Source organism: Homo sapiens, chromosome 1 (genome assembly GCF_000001405.40).
Source record: "Homo sapiens chromosome 1, GRCh38.p14 Primary Assembly".
NCBI classification, from domain to species: domain Eukaryota; kingdom Metazoa; phylum Chordata; class Mammalia; order Primates; family Hominidae; genus Homo; species Homo sapiens.
In genome coordinates, this window is record NC_000001.11 from 171,669,586 (window position 1) to 171,678,639 (window position 9,054).

Genomic DNA, 9,054 nt, shown 5'->3' on the forward strand with positions numbered 1-9,054 from the left:
TAAATATAGCAAAATGTTCATAGTGATTATATTTAGATAATGAGAATATATGATATTTTGGCTTCCATCTTTGTATTTTTTGTAATATAATTTTTAGGAGTCAGGTTTATTGAAGGGTTATTTACATGTAGTAAAATTCACCCGTTTTAGGTGTATGTGTTTTGACTAATATGTACAATAATGTATCCACTACCGTAATCAAAATACAGAATATTTCCTTTGTCCCTAAAAGTTCCTTTGTGCCTTTTTGTAGCCAATTCCTTCTCCCTAGTCACCGGCCCTTGGCAACCACTGATCTTATTTTAGTCTTGACAGTTTTGCCTTTTCTGGAATGTCATATAAATAAAAACATATAGACTGTAGCCTTTTGTTTTTGGCTTATATCAGTTGGCATGAGTGCTTTTGAGAGTCAGCCATGTTGTTGTATTTACAAGTAGTTCGTTTCTTTGTATTAATGAGCCGTATTTCACAGCATGGATGTACCATAATATGTTATCCTTATCCTTTCATGGGTTAGTGGACATTGGGTTGTCTTCAATTTTGGACTACTTACATCAGCTTGCTAGTGCTGCCATAACTAAGTACCACAAACTGGGTAGCTTAAACAACAGAAATATACTGTCCAACAGTTCCAAAGGCTACAAATCCAAAATCAAGGTTCCAGCAAGGTTTGTTCCCTTTTTTTTTTTTTTTTGTAGAATCTTTTTTATTCAGAAAAAATAAAACAATCCTCCCAAAAAAGTTTTACAACCACACAGAGGAGGGGTATGGGTAGGGGAAGGTGTCTGGCCATCAGCCCTGTACCCCAGCCCATGTGGTTTTGGCAGCAATAAGGGGTGTGGGGTAATGGCCCCCAAAATAAAATGGTGTATGGGGAGGGAAGGGATACAAAGCTGTGGGGAGCGGTGAAGGGCAAGGGACAGACGAGGTCAGTACTGGGAACGCCGAAGGTGGGAGGCCATTTCATAACATTTCTTGTTGATCAAACCACCGTGGACACCTTCTTTGCCCATCAGCAGGACTAGCGTCTTGTCAGTCTTGGTGACAGTGACATTGAAGGTGGGGGCTCCACCGGTACTCTTGGTATACGAAGATCCATGCAAAATTCCCCATCCTGCAGCAGTGAGTCCCGGATCACCGAACATTTCTGGCCCCCAAGTGTCAGCCCATTCACAAAAAAACTTGACCTGTCTTTGCCAGCCAGGACACCAACCTCAGCTGGCGCGATGTTGGCGAAGGTTTTCCCGGGGACGGCGGCCCAGATGGAGGGCGAGTCCTTGTAGCCCACGATGGCCACGTCCTGACAGGTCCCGTCCGCCATAAGGTTGTCGATGTCGGTGTCCACCCGGCCATGGTCATGATGTTGTCAATGTAGGCGTCCACCCGGCCATGGCGCTGCTGCTGGGGCAGCGGGCTGGGCTCGGGCTGCCTGGGCTGGCGGGCGGTGGGAAGCGGAGAGCTCGGGGCACGCGCTGCCGTCTGGACCGTGGCTCTGCTCGCTGTGCAGCAGCCTTGTACCACTACCTGTTTGTTCCTTCTGAGGGTCATGAGGGAAGGATCTCTTCCCGTTCTGTCTCTTTGGCTATCTTTATGTTTACATAGCATGCTCCCTGTATCTGCGCCTGTGTTCACATTTCTCCTTTTAAAAAGACTCCAGTTGCCGAGCTCAGTGGCTCACGCCTGTAATCCCAGCACTTTGGGAGGCCGAGATGGGCGGATTATGAGGTCAGGAGATCGAGCCCATCCTGGCTAACGCGGTGAAATCCCGTCTCTACTAAAAATACAAAAAATTAGCCGAGCGTGGTGGCGGGCGCCTGTAGTCCCAGCTACTCGGGAGGCTGAGGCAGGGGAATGGCGTGAACCCGGGAGGCGGAGCTTGCAGTGAGCCGAGATGGCACCACTGCACTCCAGGCTGGGGGACAGAGCGAGACTCCATCTCAAAAAAAAAAAAAAAAAAAAAAGACTCCGGTCATACTGGATTAAAGTCCCACTCTACTCCAATATGGTTTCATGTTAATTAATTATATCCGTAACCACCCTATTTCCAAATAAGGTCACATTCTGAGGTACTGGGGTTAGGACTTCAACATATTAATTGGGGGACAGGGGGCAATTCAACCCATAACAAATAGTAAAGCTGCTGTAAGCGTTTGTGTATAAGTCTTTGTATAGTCATATATTTTCATTTCTCTTGGGTAAATACATAGGAATAGAATTGCTGGATCATATGGTAATTGTATGTTTAACTTTATAAGAAACTGCCAAACTGTTTTCCAGGATGGCTGTACTATTTCATATTCCTACCAGCAGTGTATAAAAGTTCCTGTTGCTCTACATCTTTGTCAACATTTGGTATTGTCAGGTTTTAAAAATTGTAGTCATTCTGACAAGTGGGTGGTAGTATCTCCCTGAGGCTTTAATTTCACATCCCTGAAGACTAATGATGTTATTTATCATCTGTATATTTTCACTGACAAAGTGAAACTTTCAACAAAGTGATACTGTACACATCTTTTGCCCATTTTAAAAATTAGATTACTTTCTTTTTACTGAGTCATGAGACTCACTACATATATATGTCTTATATATATTGTATATTCTGGATACGAGTCCTTTGGCAAACATGTGATTTGTAAATATTTTCACTCAGTCTGTAGCTTGTCTTTTCATTTCCTTTTTTTTTTCCTTTCTAAGAAAAATAGAGAATCTTTTCATTTTCTTAAGAATGTCTTGAAAAGCAGAAAATTTTCATTTTGATAAAGTCAATTTTATCTTCTTTTAAAATTTTTGTTCATGCTTTTTGTGTCTTATCTAAGAAATTTGCCTAAGTCAACATCACAGAGATTTTTCTCTTGTCTTCTTCTAAACATTTTATGATTTTACGTTTCACATTTAGACCTATGGTTCATTTTGTGTTGTTTTATATGTGGTATGGAGTATTTTTTCTTAAAATTTCAACAATATAACATTTTTGGTTCTGGAAAGATGACATGATGTGATTTATCATCTGTATCTTTCCTTTCATAAAGTGTCTGTACACATCTTTTGTATGTGTAGCACCAGATATACTAGATAAAATAAAACAAAAACTACTTTTAATGCAAAGCTTGGTTTATAAAAAAAAACAAGGAAATTTCATGTGCAAAAAATGAGAAGGGATCTGAAAGCAGTATTGAGTATATGGACCAATACAGGTAGCTGCCTGTATTTTTTCGTGCGGGCAAGGATCGGGGTATAAAGTTTCTACTGACCTAAGGACTTGGAGTAAACAACATTGTGAGCACAGGAGAGGAGTCTTGGGTTCACTTAATGGTTGCTGATTGTGGCTGAGACTCAATATAAAGTAGGAACCCCTGAGGGGGTACGCTTTCAGTGAAAGAATGGCAGAAGGAACACAACCATTTACCAACTTAAGAAAATGAAAAGGAAGCTTGAGTCTCTCCTGAGAGGTCTCTTGAAAAACTGAAACTGCCTTGCTCCTTGCACAGATTTGAGGATTGAATTGATAACACCTGAGGGGTCCAGAAACCTCCATTGTTTAAAAGAAATAATCATTTAAAAATTGATACCTGGCCCAGGCATGGTCACTCATACCTGTAATCCCAGCCCTTTGGGAGGCCAAGGTGGGTGGATCACCCGATGTCAGGAGTTCGAGACCAGCCTGGCCAACATGGTGAAACCCCATCTCTACTAAAAATACAAAATTAGCAGGGTGTGGTGGCAGATGCCTGTGGTCCCAGTTACTCAGGAGGCTGAGACAGGAGAATCACTTGAACCCCGGAGGCGGAAACTGCAGTGAGCTGAGATTTGCACCACTGCACTCCAGCCTGGGCCAGACAGACTGAGACTCTATCTCAAAAAAAAAAATAAAAAAATAAAAAAAATTGATACCTGATAATCCCCTTTGAATGCTTGGCAGAATTTATGTAAAACAGGGGAGCAATTTCTATTGAGATTCCCACAGGAAAAAATACCCCTATTAAAGAAAAATTACTGATAAAAATGTATAAAACAAGGCAGAATCCATTAGGCACACCATAGATGTCTTCTTAGCTTGTGTGTTTCACACAGCAAGGGCACATGCAGGATGATGATAACAGAGCCCTTGCAGTGTATATATGTTGTGGTGGCCCCAGAAACCATTTACCACCAGCAAGAACCAGCAGGCATTGCAACAGGGGGATTAGAACCCAAGAACTTCATAATATTGCTGCAACAATAATATCAAAGAGAACTCAAAACAGACATGGAAAAATAATTGAAGACTTGACATAAATACTTAAAATCCTAAGAAAATAATATGACATTATGAAAAAAAAAGAACAGGCAGATTTGAAATTTTTGAAAAAGATAAAATATGTTGTCAAGATTGCACCACAGAGAACTAAAGAGAGAAAATATGACAGAAAAGAAGGTGCTTGGGGGATGATTGACATGCTCTTTTAAGATGTGGCTCTTCAGCAGTTTTTTTGATAGAAAGAGGCTATTACAGGGCAAGAAGTTCTTTAGCTTTCTCCATTTTCTGAGCTGATAAAGAAAATTACACAAAGAAAAATCTTAAGGAATCTGAACTTTAGATATTATATATCAAGATAAAACCTCAAGAAAGGGTATTTTATTAGAGAATTAGAATTAATAGCAAGATGACAAACTGCAGAATATAATTGTTATGAAGGCAGATATGGTTGGAACAGACAGAACTGTTTAGGCATCTGATAAACTCCAAGTGGAAGAAGTTTTTAAACATCTTTATGGAAAAATTGGAGAAATAAGAATTAAATGGTGATACTTAATGCTTGAGTTTCATGGAAAAAGAGAGCCTAGATTGTATCTGGGGTGAATGTATTTCTTTAAGTCTTTCTAAAAGTATTTATTTATATTAAGCAAAGTCGTTGTGGGGAAAGTTACATTCATATTTAAACTTCATTGTTAGATCATACTTCGGATTATTTCAATCACATCTGGAGTAAGTTTACAACTGGGGGCTGTGGCCAAATGCAGGGATCCAATATTTACTTGGTAATATCATCTGCAATCAAAAAGCAGAATGCCAAGAAGGAAATCATCAGTCTCTTCAGAGCTGACTTATACTTCCAATTAATACAGTACAGCAAGTATCTCATCAAAATTTCCTTTCAAATATAATATGAACTACTGGTGAATGGACAAAAGCAGGAAGCACTGAAGACTAGAGAGAGGAGAATGCCTTCAGCAAGAGACAATGTGTTTACAAAAACAGGCCTGGACTGCTTTAGAAAGTCATCACCAATGGCCTTCAGCCTTTCTTATAATAAAATAAGGAAGGAAGAAATCACTTCAAATTTTAAAAGTAGATTAGTTAGAATTTTAGCTGCATACTTCTGGGAAAGTGATTTTTCTCTCCTTCTACCCTCTTCCATTAAGTAGGGCATACTGTTCAGAATTCAAAACCTGCTGGCCAAGTTTCTAGGGTAAACAAGACTTTGTGGCTCTAGAATGAGCCCTGTTTTGAAAGCTGAATGATTTTTTGGGAGAAGAGAGAGGAAGAGGAGTTCTTAAATAAAAGGAATATGGACTTTAAAAATAAACAGTGAAGTTTGAAATGCCTGAAGTTTGTTCCTGGCACCAGTATGTCTCCAGGCAACTTTAGGCACATATAATACTGAGCCAACTTGGCTGAGCCTAGAACTGGTGGTGGACCTGAAAACAGCTCAGTGTGAAAGCCATCAAGAACTGGGATTTGGGCTGTGTTTACAGAGATTGGTCTTAGAAGACAATGTAAGCTTTTGGGGAAAGCAGCATAACATAAACTTTTGGGGACAACAAGCTTTTTAGGAACGCTAGGAAACAATGGACACTACTTGAAGGAAAGACATAGTATGGGGAAAATGCTCCATTGAATAAATTAGATAGAAGAATATAAGGTTAAGTATCAGAAATGAAACAAAACTAAGTAAATGGTTGGCTTTTCATTGTTGTTGGCTGATCTTTGTCTGAAATAGAGGATTTTAAACTTTTGTTTTAAATCTACCTTGACAATGTTGAAGAAACCTCTTGACTCAAGATGGGAAATAAAAGTTTCACCTTACAGGATAATAAACAGGTTTAGTTTAAGGATCGCCAGAAAGATTGAAAGTTAAAGGGAAAAAGTTGGAAAACAATGATATTTTCCCAGTTTCCTTATAAAAGAAGCCATTGTTCACTGAGCTAGTAACATTTTTTTCATTAAGAAAATTATATTTTTATAAGGCTAACAGCCCTACTTTTTTGCTCTTCCCTTTGTGGAGATAAAAAGTGCTTTGACTTGTAGTTGTTTTATGTTTTTTGTTTGTTTGTTTGTTTTTTGAGACAGAGTTTCATTCTTTTGCCCAGGCTGGATTGAAGTGGCGCCATATCAGCTCACTGCAACCTCTGTCCCCTGGGTTCAAGCGATTCTCCTGCCTTAGCCTCCTGAGTAGCTGGGATTAGAGGTGTGAGCTACCATGCCTAGCCAGTAGGCATGGTGGCAGTGTCTATAATCCCAGCACTTTGGGAGGCCAAGGTGGGCAGATCACCTGAGGTCAGGAGTTCAAGACCAGCCTGGCCAACATGGTGAAACACTGTCTCTACTAAAAATATAAAGATTAGCCAGGTGTAGTGGTGCATGCCTGTGATCCCAGTTACTCAGGAGGCTGAGACAGCAGAATTGTTTGAACTTGGGAGGCGGAGGCTACAGTGAGTTGAGATTATGCCACTTCACCCCAGCCTGGGCAACAGAGTGAGACTTCTAATCAAAAAAAAAAAAAAAAAGAAAGAAAAAAAAGAAATATAGTTCTCATGACTGCAGCAAGGTGTGAAAATTGTATTAAAAACTGTATGATTTGATGTAAAAGAGTTAATGGCAATCTAAATTTTTCTTAGTGGTGCATTTTTTTCTAATCCCTATAAAAATTAGCTTATCTCAGGGTTTATCACCCTCAGCACTCTTAACATTTTGGGCCAGATATTTCTTTGAAGTCGGGGGCTGTTCTGTGCATTGAAGGATGTTTAGGGCCTCCCCTAACTAGAGCATCCCCTCTAGCTATGAGAACCAAAAATGTTTCCAGATAATGACAGATGTTCTCTAAAGGGCAAAATCATCTCCGGTTGTGAACCACTGGTTTATTTTAATAGTGTTAAGATACGCTACTTAGGATTCACTTTCTAATGACAGTAGCAATAAAGTAAGCTTGTTTAGTTAATATCCTCAACAATAGTGTGCTTGTGACAAAGTAATTGGAGTTGAGATAATGCATATAAAGAACCTAGACTGTGCCTGGCACCACTCCAGTACTTAAAAATATTAGTGATGATAATGATGGCTCTGAAGGTGATGGAAAGGGGGAAGGAAGGAGAGGAGGGACAGAGAAGAGGAGGAGAAAGGAAATGAGTGAGAGGATGAGCACAGGCATATATTATACTCTCTTTGCTTGGAAATGTGTAGTCAGCTAATTCTGATTCTCACTTGGCACCAGATCAGAGCTGGTGAGCAGAGAGGAGGCAGAGGAGAGGGGAACAGTCAGGTGGGGGGTAAAAGAATTGGATGGGTTTGGCCGGGCGCAGTGGCTCACTCCTGTAATTCCAGTACTTTGGGAGGCTGAGGCAGGTGGATCACCTGAGGTCAGGAGTTCAAGACCAGTCTGGCCAACATGGTGAAACTCCGTCTCTACTAAAAATACAAAAATTAGCCAGGCATGGTGGCACACGCCTGTAATCCCAGCTACTTGGGAGGCTGAGGCAGGAGAATTGCTTGAACCTGGGAGGCGGAGGTTGCAGTGAGCCAAGATCACACCACTGCAGTCCAGCCTGGGTGACAGAGCAAGATTCTGTCTCAGAAAAAAAAAAAAAAAAAGAATTGGATGGGTTTTTCATTCAAAATATTGTGTTTTCTTGTTACAATTATCTCTAGGACTTAACTTCCTTACACGCAAGGCATTTTCTGGTACAAATTAATATCGACTTGGCTTTAGAAAAATACACACCCATTGGCCGGACGCAGTGGCTCATACCTGTAATCCCAGCACTTTGGGAGGCCAAGACAAGTGGATCACGAGGTCAGGAGATCGAGACCATTCTGGCTAATATGGTGAAACCCCGTCTCTACTAAAAATACAAAAAATTAGCCAGGTGTGGTGGCGGGCGCCTGTAGTCCCAGCTACTCAGGAGGCTGAAGCAGGAGAATGGCGTGAACCCGGGAGGCGGAGCTTGCAGTGAGCCGAGATCGCACCACTGCACTCCAGCCTGGGCGACAGAGCAAGACTCTGTCTCAAAAAAAAGAAAAGAAAAATACACACCCATCAAACAAGTAGGATTTATTTCCAGGGCAGATTAGAGAAAGTAGATGTTACATTACTTGATTCATTAAGGCATTAAACTTCCTCATATTACATTTATATTTACTTAAGTTCACACTCATTTTGTGTATAGATCCCATAAATGTTTAATGCATGTGACGCACTAATAAATGCTAATTGCATGCACTGGTATTAACTTTACTGCAGTGAATACTAGCAAGGGTCTTGGGAGGTAAATGTTCTACACATTTAAGGGGAGGATACGAGACTCAGAAAGATAAGCAGTTGCCCAGGATAACTCTCAAGTTATTCTGACACGTGAGCACAGGTCTTTCTTCCCTCAGGCTGTGGCCCTTTCTGCCACCCCACGGCTGCTCTTCATAAACTCATATGCCTACAGCTGAACGTGGGCAAACCATGATGCTCCTGAGAAATGGCAGATGGCTTATTTTCTTCTCCGCATACCTTTTTTCTCTTTCTTGTCTCTTTTCCTCCATCTCCCTCTTCCATTCCTTAGGCCTGTCAGTAACACCCTGCTGCTCGCTTATGCTGCTGAAGGGAGCCAGAGTTAAAGACGTTGTTGTGGATGGCATTCCACCACCATTCAGGTAGTTTGTTTGTTTGTTTGTTTGTTTGTTTTTGAGACAGAGTTTTGCTCTTGTCACCCAGGCTGGAGTGCAATGGCACAATCTCGGCTTACTGCCACCTCCGCCTCCTGGGTTCAAGTGATTCTCCTGCCTCAGCCTCCTGAATAACTGGGAAT

At 41.0% G+C, this 9,054-nt stretch overlaps 1 pseudogene; it reads right to left on the bottom strand.

Moving 5' to 3' along the window:
- On the bottom strand, positions 689-1,503 carry PFN1P1 (profilin 1 pseudogene 1; annotated as a pseudogene).